General features: G+C 40.7%; 1 long non-coding RNA gene across 1 annotated transcript in view; it reads right to left on the reverse strand.

Moving 5' to 3' along the window:
* Positions 1-3,356: 3,356 nt before the first annotated feature.
* Positions 3,357-18,764, reverse strand: part of LINC02150 (long intergenic non-protein coding RNA 2150) — a 67,742-nt gene continuing 52,334 nt past the window's right edge. Inside the window, exons 8-9 of the long non-coding RNA NR_104625.1 lie at positions 14,130-14,340; positions 3,357-3,832 (exon numbers count right to left, since the gene is read on the reverse strand). This is a non-coding gene — a long non-coding RNA (long intergenic non-protein coding RNA 2150). The remainder of the gene's footprint in view (positions 3,833-14,129; positions 14,341-18,764) is intronic.

Here is an 18,764-nt window from a genome sequence, read left to right on the forward strand (position 1 = left end):
TGTTGCCTGGAGCTGGAGATGCTGAGAAAAACACATTTCACAGAGCATAAAAGGCTCAGAAGTATGGTCAGTGCCTAAGCCCTGCTGGAAGTCTTCCAAGAGCCAAAAGCATTCTATTCATAGTCAGCCTCCATGATTCCCAAAACTTACAGGTGTGGAGATCTGTAAGGCGTGCCTTTAATCCTGTGTCCAGTGAAGGAACACAAAGGGAAAAGGCTGCTTTATCAGCTCACACTGAAGCATTTCAGCAAGCTTTCACTTACTCCCGTGATGTTAGCATTACTCAAAAATGTTTAGAATTAAGTGCACGTTTTGGGGCAGTCATTAAAACGAATCATTCGGGGCCCAGCAGGAAACAAATGGCATACTCAAACCAGTGCATTGGAAGAGCTTAGCAAAGGGTCCGTTCACAAGGATATGGGTAGAGTTTATGGAAAGCAACAATGGACAAAGTTATATCACTCTAAGACCTAAAATGGGAAAGGGGAAGAAACAGTTATGAGATTCCTGACAGGAAGTGATGAGGGCCACCTGCCAGGAATGGTGACCTTCAGTAGGGGGATACAGCAGACCTGTGGTAACCTGGCAGACAGAGAGAGAGCTTAAGGAATGAATGCCTTCCTTCTCTTCCCACCCTTCAGTCTCCTAGCAATGCCTGCACTCTCGTTGGTCAAAGCAACCCAGAAGCCAGAGGACAAGAGACCCATTGATCAGACCATGTAGATCACCTTCTGAAATGCAGAGAGGGGTAGAGTGGTCCTGGAAGGCAAGGAGATCTGCACTGTTACTCTTATCCCTGTTATCACAATTTCTGGGCACAGTGGAGAATTGCAAGATGGAGTGTAAGAGTCAATCTAGTCCAATCCCTTTAACTAAAATGTAAGCTCAAGGAGGGCAAGAATTTTTGTCTAGCTTTGTTCATTGCTATTAGGATAATGCCGTACACATAATAGGTGCTCAATAAATGTTAGTGGAATGAATGGTTACGATCACACCACAAGTACCAACTGTGAGTAAAGCCCAAATTTCCCAACTTTCAATCCTGCACTTCTTCCTTTATTTCTTTTGTGACCATAGCATAGATTTTGAGCAGATTTCCCACAATTGTGGAAGGATTTGTGTGGATCTGTTCATACCGTTTGCCCCAATTTTCTTTGAGACAGTGATAGGCCGCTCTTATTTTTATAATTTATTCTTTCTCAACCTTCTTGTCCAATGGCCTCTGTGCAACAAACTCCCAGATATTTCTCCCTAGCTCTTACATTTCTTGAGAGCATCAGCACCTGAATTTATTTTCCAGTGCAAACGTCCTCACCCCTGATTACACATTGCAATCACTGTAGCTTTTATAAAATACCGGTACCCTGGCTCCACCCCAGAACTACTGATTTAGTAGGTCAGAGTGGGGCCTAGTCGTCCACATTTTTTAACAATTTAGGAAATTCCAATGTGTCCCAGAGTTAAGAAACACTGCTTTAGTCTCCTCAACTCTGCACATCTAAAATGGAACACACAATTCAGGGTTTTTTTTTTTCCTGATTTTCCTGTCTCTGTTATAAATTCACTATTTCCCAGGAGCCCATAACCAAAACCTTGGAGTTTTCTTTGCCTTCTTCTCCCACCTTCCTTTAGGCAATTGTTTACCAAGTCATGAAGCTTTAACCTCACATGATTTGTCCAATTATTTCCCCAACTTCCATCTCCACCGTTGGCCCTAAAGTTGGATCAGTGGCAGCACAGAATGGATGTCTCTCATCCTCTAGAAGTGCCCAGCCTCCAGCCTGTGCATATGGAGATTCCAAAGGGGTGTGGCCAGTGTCCACTCCACCCCCATTCACAGTTAAACAACATTTAGTCCATCATCAGCAACCTTGCAAGCAGATATTATCATCCCCATTTTATTTAAAAGGTTTCAGTCTGAAATGTTGTAAAATCATGACAGTTATATTACCAAGATGATAGAATCATGGGCAATTTTTTTTCTTTTATCTTTTCTCCTTATTTAGGTTAAACGATGGTTCATCATAGACAAAGAATAAACTCAGTAGGAAACTCAAGGACTTATCCCACCCATCACATAATAGTAGATCAAATATCAAGACCTAGGAGGAAAAATTTTTAATGACATCTCCCAGACTTCGAATATAAAACCCCAGGAATATTGTCAACCATAGCTTCTAAGCTGTCACCTTTGCCAAGAAAGCAATCAACTTATTAAGGTCAGGAGATCTTTCCAGATATCTGCCTTTACAGTGACAGACAAGGTCGTACATGACTTGTCTCCACCAATCCCTTCACCTTCACACCCTCCTGTTTCCCACCCCAGCCACATGGGCTTCTTGCTGTTTTTCCTAATATTCCTCACCTCCTCTGAGTAAGGGTGTTTGCCCTAGCAGCTACCTCTACTTGGTGGACTCTTCCCCGAAGCAGCCTCAAATTTCTGACCTCCTCAGTCCTGGCTCCAATGACCCCCTCTCAATGATACCTTCCCTGATGGCCCTATCTGAAACTTAAACTATCCCCTACTCCTCGATCCTTTCCTTTCATTTATCTCTAGAGCACTTCTCACCATCTAATGTCAACAAAATCACAGCAAACCCTTCTGGAAGGCTCGCTGCATGCTGGACCTGTTCTAAGAGCTTTGCATGCACTATTTCATTTAACCCTCACAGCAGCATGGCAGAGTGAGTCACCTGTTGATCCCATTTCACAGATGAGGAAACTGAGCCACAGAGAAATTAAGTAGCTTGCCCAAGATTACAAAATGGCCAAGCAGCGGAGCCAGGACTGAAACACCAGGAGGTCGGCCTGGAGAGTGCACAGTCCTACCCACTATGCTTTCCTTATGTAACATATCCATTTTGTTTATTTTGAGTCTCCCCCACTATACAGTAAGCTCTGTGAGGGTATGAATTTGGGCTTTTGGGTTTTTTTGTTTGTTTTGTGTGTGTGTGTGTTTTTGTTGTCTTTTTTTTTTTTTTTTTTTTTTTCTTTGAGACAGGGTATCACCCTGTTACCCAGGCTGGAGTGCAGTGGCACCATCTTGGCTCACTGCAAACTCCACCTCCCAGGTTCAAACGATTCTCGTGCCTCAGCTTCCTGAGTAGCTGGGATTACAGGTGCATGCCACCATGCCCAGCTAATTCTTTTGTGTATTTTAGTAGAGACAGGGTATCACCATGGTGGCCAGGCTGGTCTCAAATTCCTGACCTCAGGTATCTGCCCGCCTTGGCCTCCCAAAGTGCTGGGATTACAGGTGTGAGCCACCGTGCCTGGCCATGGCTTTTTTTTTTTAATTGCTATATCCCCAATGCTCAGCACAGTGCCTGACCCACAGTCAATGTCTAATACATTTGTCTAATTAATTAGTTTATTAGTTAATTGATACATCCCTATTACCCACTTCAGCCACTGGTAAATTTCTGCGTACGTGTTAAGTGCCTAGTAAATATTTTTTAACATGAAGTAATTCCCTAAGGAGCCTTTTTCTCCCCATACTTTCCCATCCCCTGCTCTGGGAGGAAGCATAGGAGAAGATGTTAGGGTGGAACTCTTTCCACCTGACTCTTGGCCAAGGCCCCAAAGGCCAAGAACACAACAGTAAGTGCCAAGGGCCCCTTATTCCCAAACCAAGTGCTTGGTCCGTGATGGAGGATAAGCAAATGAGGCTGAGAGTCTTTCCCAAAGCCAGATGAGCACGGGAAGCTCACCAAGACAGGCGGCTTCTACCCTGACGTCTCTCAGATTCCCATCAGCTCCAGAAGCCAAACCTGATAGCAAGGGTGATTCTGAGAGCTGCGTGTCAGCTTTCATCTCTTTCTCTGGGCCAGGCCTGAAATACAAGCAAAAGCCACATCTCAGTACTTAGTCTCAAAGGTGTGTAGCCATCCTAGCCTGGGAACTGGGAAACCTGGGTGAATGGGAATCACCTTCCCCGGCTGTCAGCATGTGCGCGTGTGCACACACACACTCACACACACACACACCAGCCTCATACTCTGCACCTCCAAGTATCCTTTTCTTTAACCTCATTGGCCAGAAAGCCATTTGAGCTCAATTTTGGGGACCCCACAGTCTCTATGAAACCTGTGCTCTCCAATCATTGCCCCCAGGACAATACCTGACATAAAATGAACCTGAAGCTCCATGTTAGTGAATCCACAAGGACATGCAACCTGCTTTGAAATATACTTTAATTCACATTCACCCTGTCCATCCATGCCCAGTCTCAACCCAGTTTGCCAGGATTGAACCTCCCCAATGAAGACAAGAATCATAACGAAGATCAAGAATCACTTTACTGCAATGCCTGCTTCCCTTTGGAATTAAGCAAGGCCAAAACACCAAATCAGAATGCCTCCAGCCTCCTTATTAATGTGTTTTGTTAGCAACAACTGCTTCAACCATGTCTCATCTAACCTTTGCAGAAGAGCTCAGGTTGAATGACCAGGCAGCCTGCCCTTCCCCAGTGCAACTCTCTGGATACAGTCTCCATCTCTGGGCAGCTGCTGACCCACCTCACCATCTATCAAGATGGCCCTCAGCCCATGGGGGGAAAAAATGAGCCTGTAATTTATTGCACCCAGCAAAGGCACCCAGGAAGATGGGGATTTGCTAGATCAGTGGCATTGCAGTTTCACATTCCACCCCTCTTGCCGGAAGCTCTCCCTGATGGCACCTATTGACAACTGTACTTGTGGAAGAACCTGGGCATCCCATAGCACAAGAAGGGAGTATCCGCCAGCAAGGGAGTTTCATATGACAATCAGTCCTGACAACAGCCTGTGCAGCTCCTCCTGAGCCTGATGAAGATTTGGAAAGCTCAACTCTGTTTGTGTAGTCCTTCCCTGCTGTTACAGTCACCTGGGAAGAATTTGCCAGTAAGGGAAGAATTGGAGCAAGCTGACCTGGTTGTCTCCTTGCTAGCTCTGGCAGCACATCTGAATAATGGAAATAATTGGAAGACAGTGTCAGCTACAGGATTGTGTGGTTACTTTAATTGCCAATTTGCTTCCTGTATAACTGCTCAAGTGTGGGGAAAATCAGTGTATGGAAATGACACTGCCCCAGACACCTAATTAGCCACATTCCTATCAACTTGGTTTCTGTCTTCGGGCAGAATGTTTGCCATTTGGTGGAGGGAGAGGGCTTCAAGGTAAGATAGGGAAATAGGGATAAAGAAAGAATAAATAATTCAACAGACCAATTTGCAATAAAATAAGGATGATGATGAGCTTGTCCCTGTGCACCATTTAATAAGAAAAGAGAGGAATGTACATTTTCTGGGATACTTTGGACTTCAGTAAAACTCCCATGATGGTTACTACAACCCTATTAAACTAAGCAGATAGCATTTAGAACACTGAATAGAAACTTACTCTTTCTCACAGTTTGAAAGGAGGCAAGGAGCCTCAATGTTATTCTTTAAAAAATACACAGTGCCAATTGGTAGGTGCTGGAAATGGAGCCTAGTAATGGAGCCACTCCAGGCATATATACTCCTTTGTGAGAGGAAAGTGCAGTGAACCTGATTTAGCAAATTTATCATCCCACCCAAGAGCCCATGGGAGCAGTCCTTCTGGAAGACCAGTAAGGTCAATAGCACAAGACCAGCCCCACGATGGGTCCTTGGCATTGCTTTATTCTGAGGCCCTACAAAAGATAACCCATACCTATCAATTATCTGCGAATTTCCACCTCCATCTCATAAGTGAATTATTTTTTTAAAAGAGTGGCAGAAATAACTCCCCATGACCTCCTTTTCAAATACTGGTGGGTCAGTGGAATTGGCATCTGTACAGAGGGCCCATATTATTATTAGGGGAACAAGGCAGCAGGGAAAGATCCGATTCAACGCTTGCATTATCCAGACCGCTGTACTTTAGGGCACTCTTGATCCTGCAGCTATTTTCTACATCCTTTTCCTGTTATGTGCTTTCAAGATACTAATTTATTTATTCGTGCTTCAGTGAGACTTAAGTTTATGATGGTCAATAAGCTGACACTGCTGTTAAATGATGCAAGCTCTCTGCTGGGGAGCATTGCCAGGTTGGAGGGAGAGGGTGCTTCTCTCACAGAATTCTTTTCCCATTCTCTGGATGAGTCTCTAGTCACAAGCTTAATTGTGTATAGCACTGACCACTGTCCACAGTTTGTTGAGTTGAGACCACGCAATTTACTTTCTTTTGAGTTTCTGAGAAATCTGATGAAACCCTAGACATTGAAGCCACTAAACTTATTTCCATTCATTAATAGGCAAGGAAATCATTTATTCTTTTCACTGAACTTCTCTACACAAAATGAAATACTCAGAAAATAGGCATAAATGTAGATCACGAAATAACATTGGCTTTCAACTTTAGTTCACCTGCTTGAAAACATGTTCATATTCAAACATAAATGAGGCATTATTGGAATATCATGTCATGGTGTCTTTCTCTCCTTAAGAGAAATGTGCTCTGTATCATTGGCAGGCTTTCTACATGGATACATTTGTGATAAGACTGTGATTTGGGGGTTGGGTTTTTTGGGGGTTTTTTTTATTGTTGTTGTTTTGCTTTTTGAGACAGGGTCTCACTCTGTCACCCAGGCTGGAGTGCAGTGGCGCGATCTTGGCTCACTGCAACCTCTGCCTCCTGGACTCAAGCAAATCTCCTGCCTCAGCCTCCCAAGTAGCTGGGATTACAGATGCCTGCCACCACACCTGGTTAATTTTTGTATTTTAGTAGAGACAGGGGTTTCACCATTTTGGCCAGGCTGGTATTTGAACTCCTGACCTCTGGTGATCCGCCTGCCTTGGCCTCCCAAGGTGCGGGGATTACAAGCATGAGCCACCGCTCCCAGCAACTGTGATCTTAAAGATCTTAAATGCCAAAAGGAATATCCTGATGGGAAGGAAATGGCTCCACAAAGCTAGGAAATGGCTTGTTTCCAAACCACCTGCTCCATACTGCCGTTTCATTCACAGCCAAATTCTTCAACCTAACTTGGGTGTCTCTATGGGACCAAACTTCTCCAAAGGAACCTCCTCCAATAGCCTTCTTTATTCTGACCACTTTCAATGTGTTGCTTTCTTGCCATAGGCCTTAAATAACCTTGCTTCCAAACATTTTTCCCATCCTCTTCTAATTTTGTCTTATCATTAAGCTCCCAGCTTCTAGGAGAACGTCTCAGATGAGCTCTTCTACACTGTCCCTCCAGCATTCTCTGCCCAAGCCTGGCATGTGCTTTGCACCACTTTGCTTACAGATACGGTACTTTGGCTTACTCTTGTGTCTGTGCTATGCACGCACTTGGGGATGTGGTGTGTGTGTGTGTGTGTGTGTGTGTCTTAATCACTTTGGGCTGCTATAATAAATTACCATAGACTAGGTGGCTTATAGGCAACAGAAATTTACTTCTCACGTTTCTGGAGTTTGCAAGGCCTAGATGAAGTCCCCAGCAGATTCCATGTCCGGTGAGGACTTGCTTCCTTGTTCACAGATGGCATCTTCTCGCTGTGTCTCACACAATGGAAGGAGCAGGCAGCTCTCTGTGACCTCTTTATGCTGGCACTAAGTCCACTCATAAAGGTTCTGCCCTCATGAACTAAGTACCTCCCAAAGACCCCAACTCCTAATATTCTCACTTGGGGGGTTAGGATTTCAGCATATGAATGGGGGGCATAAACATTCATATTAGAGCTGTGTGTGTGTGTGTGTGTGTGTGTGTGTGTGCGTGTGTGTGTGTGTGATGTTTCTCCAACTAGCTCTATAGATTCTGGAATTCTGTTATTTATATTTTACATTTCTGCTTGCCCAGATCCTCACAGTTGGTAGATGATCAAAACAACATGCTCATCAAATGAACCAAGAGAAGGAAAAGCCCTTCTTGAAATTTAAAAATTCAACCCCCGAGCCATCCTTCTCATGAAATCATCCACAATATCCCCCACTCACCACACCAACCCATGTTAGAATTAAATAAATGTTCCTTTGTCTGGGCTCTTAGAGAGCTTGGCGTTTTCCTTTTAGCACTTGAGCACATACTCTGGCTTGTCATATATCTGCTTGCATGTGTTTTTGTCCCCTCTGGGCTGTGACTGCACTGAGATCAGGAATCGTATTTACTAAGGGTCTACTGTGTGCATGATAGCAGCTTGACACGCGAATCTCTAATCCATATAATGGCCATTCTGTGTCGATATTAAAATCTCCATTTTAAAGATGAGAAAACTGTGGCTTATAGAGATGGAAGTAATACACAGTGGGTAAGAAGCTGAGCTATGATGTTGTTCTCAAGGTCATGCTTCTGCTCCTCCCCTGTGTTTTCCTGTAGGAGAGGGGTGCCGAATTCTCGTTCCCTAAGACTCCAGGCTTCTCCCTGTCCCCTTACTCCCTCCTCCTCAGAAAGCTGAAAAGCTGTCTCAGTGTGATGGTTTTGTCTGGAAGGAGAACCTGGAGGCACTTTCTTCTTCTCTTCCTTTCTCTTCCATTTTTCTCTGCTTCTAATCACTGTAAGTCTTTTGGAAGAAGCTTCGGTTCCTGTAGCCAAAGGCATGGGGGATTGTAGTTTGGGAGATCTAAACTCAAACTCACTAATACCTAGCACGGTATGTCAGCAATCTTAGAAAAGAGACCAGAAGTAAAATTTCAGAAGAATAAAATGTATGTAGAGCGTTTGAGCCAGCAAAGTGGATTTGAGCCTTGGATCTTAGTGTATGAGCAGGTGTTTTAACTTTGGAAGGTTTAGAGGATCATACACAATGGTTAATACAACTGTGAAATTGGATTTTAACCACTACAGCCCGGGCAAATGCTTTAAGCCTTGAGCTATGTACTACTTGACCTTGGTAAGTGGCTGTGGCATATGCCTTTGTTCACAGGCCATTGACAGCTTACAGAGAGGCAGGGTTGCTTGCATAGTGCCAAAAGCTGATAAGGTGTCCCAGCCTCATCAAAAGGGCAAGGTAGTTCAAGGATTAGCGAAGGCACAGGGGACCACACAGCCACCAAAAAGCTAAGCTTAGTTCACACAGGTGTCCTCCATAGATGGTGTCTCTTGGAGCTTGTGAGCCAATCCTGGCCCTACAGGCTCAACACAGGTGTGGGCCGTTAGCATGTGAAGGTGGCCTCTGCATACAGGTGCTTCAAGGGGCCCTTGACCTACACAGGTGCAAGATTTCCTAAGCAGACACAGGTAAAGCAATGATTCATCTATAGAGAAAAGAGAACTGAGACATTAGGGTTCGGAACCTATTTGCTGTTTTTAAATTACAGTGCTAGAGAATTGCATTTGCACTGCAGAGCACTAAGTAAGGTTCTAGATTTAAATTGTTAGTGCCAAGCATAAGAAGGCAAAGCAAATGGAAAATGCGAATTAGGAGGTGATGAATATGGTGGATGGCAAAAATAGAAAGATCAATTACTGGAGATGGGGTGACCATCATGGCAAATTTCTAGTTTGCAACGAGGTATGCTAGTATGATAGTGGAGGTGTACATGTGTGGATTTTCCTCCCAGACATGGTACCTGCCCTTGCTTGGAGACTGTTTTTCCCCATTATGTTTTTCAAAGCTCATGAATTCATGACAACTAGCATCATCTGGAGAAGACAGTAGCTGGGCAGATTTCCCTAGCTATCTTATCCCTGACTCATCTGATTCTCTGCTGTTTTCTGTGACAAACTACTTTGCTGGCTTCTAGAAACCTAATTTTGCTGGAAATAGCTGCCCCTGGAGTTAGGAATGGGCTGCTTTGCTCAATTTGGTGGATGTGGGGTCAGGGTTCTGATATATGTTCTATTAACTCTTTAAATTATTTTATAAGAATTTTTTTTTAATCTTAAGGAAACCAGAAAATAACAAGTGTTGGTATGGATGTGGAAAAATTGGGTGGCGAGTTGGGGGAAAGAAAGGCATTGAAGAACTTTTGACTGAACTAATATCACTTCTGAGACCTAAAAAGAACTATGCCCATTCCAGATAGAAACAAACTAGGCATCTCCCTAGACTACAGTCCTCAAAGTATGGCTCATCGGCCATTAACGGTTCTCCGGACATTTTCAGGGGTTCTGCCATGTCAAAACGATTTTCAAAATAAAAGTAAGATGGTATTTGTGAGTCTGTTTTTTCCATTTATTGACATTTGCACTGGTGGCACAAAAGCATGGGGAGGTAAAGAGCTTGCCCTTAGCATATGTCAAGACACAGCACTGATGGGCTTCAGGACATGCTACTCCAAAATATGGTACCTCGACATTTGAGAAAACAGCAGAAACAGCAGAGGAAGGTCCCCTTAAAGCAAGCCATAAAACGTAGAAAGAATTCTCTGACCTTCCTCTGGACCAGGTCATAAGACCCTCATGTGAGAGATGCCCACCCTATACCCAGAGGAAAGAGATGTCCTTGTCTCTGCAGACAGAAACACAAAGAACAATGTAGACAAACAGGACTTGCTAAGTTTCCCCCAACTTATTACCATTAAACCATACCCCTTTTGTCCAAGCATACTTTTCCACAAGTATTCACTTCTTCACCAAACTTAGCATAAAAAGATATAGGTTCCCCTATTCCTTTGTTTCTTCATTTCCTTATGAAGGCTCCTATGTCACGTAAAACTAATTAAGTCAATCTATCATTTTTTATAGGAACCCTGCCATGAACTTTGCTACAGGTGAGGAAAAGACACTACCTTCTCTCTTCTCTCCACTATGACACCCAAGTATACTAGCAGTCATTGAATTATTCACCATCAAGCACTCACACACAAAAAAAATTAAGTCACTTTCACTTAAGACTGTCCTTAATGAAACTGTAAAAAAATATTAGTTTTATTAAATCTTATCGATTGAGGACATGTCCTTTTAATAGTTCATGTGACAAAGTGGGAAGTTGCATAGATTACATTTGCAACATACCAAAGTATGAAGGTTGTTTCAAGGGCAAGCACTGTGCAGTTGTTTAGATTAAGAGAGAACTAGGCTTTTTCTTTTCTTTTTTTAAATGAGCATTTCTTTTATCTTAATGGAACTACTGTGATTATTCAAACCTGGGTATTTGACAACTATTTGCTCAAAAATAAACAAGGAAAGCCTGTCACTTCAAGGAGAATAGCTGACAATAATTGTCACTAATAATAAAATTCAAGCTTTCAAGTGAAAATCAGGATTTTAAAAAACATGTGTCCAGCACTGTGAGCTTGACAGCTTCTTAATACCGAAAGACTTTTCTGATGAGGTGCATGGAAATATTACCAAATATGATTTTTTGGTATTGTATAATGAAACGTGTCAAGATTTGGGAGATCTGCCTAACTCAGTGAACCAATATTTTCCATATGACCAACATATGATGTTAACAAAATTATGCATGGATAAGGGATTCTTTCAAAATGCAAGATGCTATCATGGATTTTAATACAGCAACGTGTGAAAACTTCACTGACCTGGTTTCAGATTCAACGCATTGCACTAACTTTTCAGAAACTACCACTTGTCAATCATCATCATAATATCAAATAAGAAAATCCACCATTATCTGAAACTGGTATAAAAATATGCCTGCCTTTTCCAACTGCATGTCTGTGTGAGGCTGAATTTTCTTCAGATTATTCAACCAAAAAACATATTGCAACAGATTGAAGGCAAGAGCAGAATCCAGCTGCCTTCTATTAAACCAAACATGAGAAGGATTCGCCAACATGAAAAAAAAAAAGCTACACTTTTTCACTATATTTTTTAATTTATTTTTAATTGACAAATAATTTCATATATTTATGGGGTACAATGTGATGTGTTGATATATATCATATATATCAAATATAATATATATATGGTCTACCATGTATATGGTATAATAATTAAATATAACTAATTAACATATCTATCACCTCATATACCTAACATTTTTTGTGGTAAAAAAAATGAAGTCTCCTCTTTTAGCAGTTTTGAAATGTACAGTTTTGAATTATTATTAACTATAGTCATCATGCTTTGCGATGATTACTAAAATATTTCTCATGCATCACTGAAATTTTGCACAGTTTGACCAGTATCTTCTCATACCCCATTTCATAAATACATGCTATCTATGTTAAGTTGAAATGGGTTTATTTTGTTATATTTAAATGAATAAGTATTTTTAAATGCCTCAGTTTTAATTTATAATATAATAAATATTAATAAGTACTTTGGTGTTTTCAACAATTACTCAGAGTTTCAAGAAATCCTGAGATTAAAAAGTTGGAAAATTGCTGACATAGACAGTAAGAACCCTCTGGCTAAAACAGCCAGAATAATAAATTAAGCAATGAAGGTATGGCAATATCTTTGAATTTTTAACAGATAGGGAAATAGAATTTACTTCCAGATGTTAATTGCTGTGAATGTTTGAACTTTAATCTGCATAGGAATTTTAATCATTAAACTCTAATTTCTTGCTAGGAAATTTAAAATGGAAGAGGGTTTGGATTCAAATTTCAGATATCTACATTGTTATACTGTATTATTGTACTTTGTTGTTATGTTATCATTTAATTTCATCTCTGAATCTCTGAATTAAAAACACTAGAATGAGCTGAATTGTACAGTGTAGCTGATATTAATTTGAAATGGAAATGGAAGAAGGATTGCTTTTTCAGCCTTGGCTTTGATTTTACAGATTTCAGACTGGCCTTGGCTTTGATTTCACTAATTCACTTTTCTGGCTTATTCTAGAAACCTCTTGGAGCAAAATCTACTGCCCTGGAGATATCAGGGAGATGCCCAAAAGACCCTGGTTGGTATTGGGAGCAGCATCAGGAGCATGAGTGGATCTCTCCTGAGAGCCAGCTGACCCTTCCTGAGTAGGGAATGGCCATCCCTCTCATGGGCTCCAGGTCCAAATACTCCTTCTCCACTCCTGGAGTTTCCCTTCCTGAAGATGGAGTGCCCTTGGCACACCCTCTGCCTTCCATCACCCCGGCATTCGCTGTGCCTCAGAACAGGCCCTGTAATAATCGGTGGTGGTTTTGGAGTAAGGAGCTGTTCTGTTGTTGCTCCTGTTCCTTCTCCCGGGAGTGCCCAGACAACATGAGTTCTCTTCTATCCCAGCTCTCCATGAGTGATTGGTGTAAAAGTCTGCCTAATTCTCAAGTTCAGAATTAGGAAGTCAACTTACTTCAGATACAAGCCACATTCACCAAAATCATCTCATTACTAAAAGTAGTGATATACTGGCTTCCATATGTTATCTTACTTTTTGTCTTATCTCTCCGAGGATTGAAAAGCCAGGTTGGAAACCAGAAATTATTTATTGGGTTGCCTCAAATACTGTAAGAGACTGAACTTAGGTCCATTTGATTCCAGAGGCCATGCTCTTTCCACCTCATTACGCTGGTTCCACTTTGTGTTTTCCCATAGCATTAAAACCAATACCTTCACGGATAAGTATTTGTGAAATGCATGATGAATGAACACATAAATGAATGAATGAATGAATGAATGAACAATATCCCAGCACAGAATTGTCTCCTATTGTGTGGATTAGTATTCAAAATTAGGCAGAATATTTCTCTTTCATTTCAAGTGCTGACTAGCTTATAAAGTAAATGCTGCGATTTGTTAAAACTTAGTGTTTTTGTTTTTGTTTTTGTTTTTACATTAAGGAGGTGTATAGTCTTGAGAGGTAGGATAGCATAGTATGCTGAGACAGGATAAAAGTAACCATGATAGTTACATCACTTCACCCCAAATTCATTAACTTCACTTAAGTGAGAAACAAATCTGTGATGGAAAACTCTTAGGCATCCACAGACCATCTGAATCCTACATCTGTTTGCTGTTTGTGGCAGTGCGTGTTTATCCTTTGGCCACAATTCAAGGAAAATAAAGCTTCACCCCAGCCATTTCACAGATAATTGGCTCACTGCATGCATGTTTTTACACTAAAAATCATATTTAGTAATTACTTGCTATCTACAAAGATCTACTGATAAGATACACAGGAAAACTCTAAAGTATAATGTATGTTTCCTATATGAGTTATCTATTGTTACTTAACAAATTACCCCCAAACTTAATGGTTTAACATAACAATAACTATTTATTACCTTGCATAGTTTCTATGGAAGATAATAAATGGCTATTGTTATGTGATGTTATTTGCAGCTTACCTGGGATGGGGGAGTCTAATTTGGAATCTTTCCTGATGTTGTAGTCAAGATGGCACCTGGGGCTGCAGTCATCCAAAGGATCAACCAGGCTGGAGGATCTGCTTCCAAGATGGCTCACTCACATAACGGTAGCAAGAGGCCTCAGTTCCTTCCACGTGGACTTCTCCATGGGGCTGCTCAAATGTCCTCATAACATATCAGCTAGCTTTCCCTAGAGTGAATAATCCAAGACCAATGGAACCACAATGTTTTTTATGAACATTCTGGCTTTGGAAGTCACGTGGTTATTTTCACAATATCCTATTGGCTACATAGGTCATTCTATTTAATATAAGAGGGGACTACACAAAGAACGAATAACAGGGGTGGGGATCATTGGGAACTATTTGGATACTGGCTACCAGGGTTTTTATCACTTTCTCTAGTTTCATCATGAAGAAAAACTAGGCTCATGAAAAGCGAATAAGCAATTTTGTGGCCACAACACATGAGGTGTCCAATGACAAGGTCTGTCTTTTTTGTACTTGGTTGCTACATTACAGACACATTGAGAACATCCAAGGTTTGACGTTAAACTAAATTCCCAGGAATGATTAGTTCAAGAAGGTCCCATCTCAGAAAATTGAATCTTAGAGGAAGGGTAATAATTTATTCATTGAACAAAATTCATTGAGCTCTTAGTAAACACTTAGTAAATACAGACTAGCTCTGTAGACCCTTAGATAAAATGTGGAGCTCACGCTACAATGAGGAAATCAAACATGTGGATACATAATCAGAGTATAATATTGTAAGACACTGATATAGAAAGAAATGCTTCGTACATGGAAGTACTAAGGAGAGCTGCTAACTCAGCAGGACATGGGGAGTGTCAGAAAAGATTTCCTGGAAGGAGTGACACACAGTCTCAATCTCAAATGATAACTTAGAATTCGCCAAGCATTCAGGACAGCAGAAACAGCATGAGAAAAGTTATGAAGGTGAGAGGCAGCATGGAATGTGTAAGAGAATGAAGGTAGAGTGGCGAGGAAGAAAGTAGAGATTTGCAGAACATAGCATTGGAGAAGTAGGCAGGCCCACTCAGAGAGAACCAGGAGTTGGGTCTTTCAGATTATACACTATGGGAAATCTTTGACTTTTATTGCCAAGAAGAGTGGTATGGTCAGATGTCATTTGAGTTTTGTATAGAAAGAATTTGAGCAAAATAAGATTATAGACAGATAGATCAATTAGAAAACATTCGCTGAAGAAACAAATGGGGTAATGAGGACCAGAACTAGGGCAATAACAATAGGCAAGGAAATGAAAAGACATATTTGTTAATTAATAATGAATTCATCATCCAGAAAAAAAAAACAATGGGCAGATTTTCCAGTAGTAAGGTAAAGTACAGTAAGTAAAGTACGACAAAGAAAGAGGAAATTATTCTGGTGGTCTGTATTCCAAGCTTGGGAGATGGGATATTTCAAAGTTTGGTCATTTTCACTATAGAAGGTCCTGTTTGCTAGCCTATCAACCTTGGGAAAATGAGCCCTGTCATGACCACCTAGACTCTCAAGGGGCCACACAATAACTAGAAGAGGAAAGAGAAACTGACTGACAGTAAAAACCAAACCACAGAACATCTGTGGACTGCCATTGAGTTCTGACTCTTTTATTATAAATCAAGCATCGGGATTTTTCCTCTTACAACAGTGTCCCTGATTTCCCTATTTCACCTGTAGGAAAGCCAGCCTTATAAATGTACACAGGGAGACCTGGCATTCTTTCATGTAAACAGACGCCCTTACCACCTCCTGAGAGCATGGCATCTCTGCCTTCCAATTATTGTATTCTCCTATCAGAAAGTTCTATCTGATTCTTTTCCAAATCCACCTAGTAAATGTTGATCTCTTGTTTCTTCATTATATTTTCAATACTTTGTTTTATGAAAACATATCAAACATACTCCCTTTACATTCTGTTTCTTATCCTTTTAATGTCTACTGGCTTTGCAAGTCTACTTCTGTGCTTTGTTTTTGCTGCTGACTTTTGTTTATAATGGCTTGGTTTTGCCTAATTTTTGTAAGAAATTTTGAACCCACTCCCTCTGGGGATTTTTGTATGAGAAATTTCTGAGGCTATAGTTGAAATTGTATTCATCTAGGGAGTATTTACATTTGCTTCTGCCAACCTTCCAGAAGCACTACCAACACAAGACTACTGTAAATTAATTCTTCTACAACCAAACAGGTAGAGGGATTTTGGTCCCCAACCTGCGATTACAGGCCTGTGATTAGAAGTGGGAAATTTTTTTCATCCAATTTATTGAAAGCCAAGATTAAGACAGAAATATATCTCTGGTGTGTATCTCCAAGCTCTTTATCAGCAGGGCAAATTTTTTTCTATTTATCTACTTTAGGGGTGTTAGATTTACACAGGAACTCTGACTGGATGCCCCCTCTTTCCCTGTTGGGGCTCAGGCTTTGTCCCCTGTCCCTGTGTCTTTGTCCCATTAAAACCCAGAAAGCCATCTCCAGGTTTTACTAGATACCCCCAGGACAAACATTGGCTCCAGCACTGCTACGCTGCCCTTTTGGATTTGTATTTTCCTGAAGTTTCTAAAAGGATTTGGAGAAATTCCTTTACTTTCTCCTCACTCTACCTGCACTCTCCCTGTGAGAGGCTGATTTTTATGCAGGATTTTTAGGTATGCTGTACTGGAAAAGGTCTCTCTGTACATCTAATCTGCCACTTTGCAGGCATTGGAAGTTAGAGCTAATCTCGTATCATGCCACAAGAAAGACAGATCATTTACTTATGCCTTATGCTTGAAATTCAATCAATAAAGACAGTTGGAATAAAGGAGTTAAGAAGGCCATGTTGTCATTTTTCCCACATGTTCTACCAAAAAGGGACCTAAAGGAGAGCCAGAAGGCCCTTAGACCAGTCAATATTTGAGTGCTACTGAGAAGCAATAAAGTGTCAAAGGATGAGACCACTTCTCAGTGTCTTAAACAAACAAACAAAGCACAACAACAAAAACCCACAAAACTGAATTTATGCCTTCCTTAAGTGAGGAAGAGTTATGCTGGATGGGCGTGATCTCTTAGAAGAAGAGTAGGTAACTGATGGGTGGAGTGGAGGGTAGTGTAACCTGTAGGAGCGTAGTTACTCAGGTGAGACTGTTGTGGATGGGTTCACTGCTAGAAGGCTATTCATTGGAGGGAGTCCATTTCCCACTGTCTGATTTTCCAAAGCAAAAGGCTGATGCTGATTACTTGGCTTTCAGAAGCATATTTACTGAGGGGAGTTGTTGATGGATTAAATAGGTTTACAATGACTTCTCATGCTCCATTACTTTGAAATTGTCTTATTACAAATAAACAGGTTTAAAATCCATTTTGGTGCTTACCTGTTACTATGGCTACAGAATAATTAGTCTTTCCTAGGAGTATGGAAACTTTTTTGTTGGCAAAAGAAAATGTCATCAAGAAAAATATGCAATAATTTGTAGAATTTAATCTCAACAAAATCTCTGTATTTTTAGATAATGCTAAAATCTTCAAATTAGCATTAACCTACCACAGCCTCAATTAACCACATATGTGTATATATGTACCTATTCCTTCTATGAGAAAAAGGCAATGACAAGACAACACTGTGCCCTTAGTTGACTCAGCCTCTCACACCTTCAGTGGCAACAGCACTGTACAATTCAAATTAATACTCAGAATATTTACCTCATTCACAGATCATAAAGTCCTCAATCACAAAATAGGATTTCAGTCATTGTTACAAAGTCCACATAGTAAAGGATGAAAGGAGACATTCATCCTAGAACATTTTTAAACAAAGTATGAAATCAAAAATATTATGCTTAATGCTTAATGAATTAGAAAAAAAATGAACTAACCTAATTTCCTGACTATTTTGATCAATACTGATTACATAGAAATTAAAAATGCATTGAGATAACTAGTAAGAGATGCCAAAAGTACATATGCTGGCATTATATTTTATTCAAAATACATGACCGTGTAATGATTAAGAACACAGCCCCTGAGCTCACTGCCTGGAATCACAGGTTGGCTCTGCACGTGTCTCTGTATTCTCGTCTGCTATTTGGACTAAATCATGTCCCCCAAGATTTGTATGTTGAAGTCCTAACCTCCAGTACCTTAGAATGTAACTATTTGGATAAAGGGTGTTAACAAAGGTAAATTAAGTTTAAATGAGGTTTTTAGGGTGGTCCCTAGTTCAATATAACTACTGTCCTTGTATGAAGATGAGATTAGCACATAGACACACACAGATAAATGACCATGTGAGGACAAAGCAAGAAGGTGGCCAACTGCAAGCCAAGGAGAGAGGCCTCGGAAGAAATCAACTTTGCTGACACTTTGATCTTGGACTTCCAACCTCCAGAACCATGATAAAATTAATTTCTATTGTTTAAGGCAGCCCATCTATGGCGTTTTGCTATGGCATCCTTAGCAAACAAATACATCTGTTAAATGAGATGACATTAAATTCACATAGTAGTTGTGAGGTGTCTTAGTCCATTTTCTGTTGCTAAAAAGGAATACCTGAGTCTGGGTAATTTATATATATTTCTTTTTTTTTTTTTTTTTTTTGAGAAGGAGTCTCACTCTG

This window comes from Homo sapiens, chromosome 5 (genome assembly GCF_000001405.40).
Source record: "Homo sapiens chromosome 5, GRCh38.p14 Primary Assembly".
NCBI classification, from domain to species: Eukaryota; Metazoa; Chordata; class Mammalia; order Primates; family Hominidae; genus Homo; species Homo sapiens.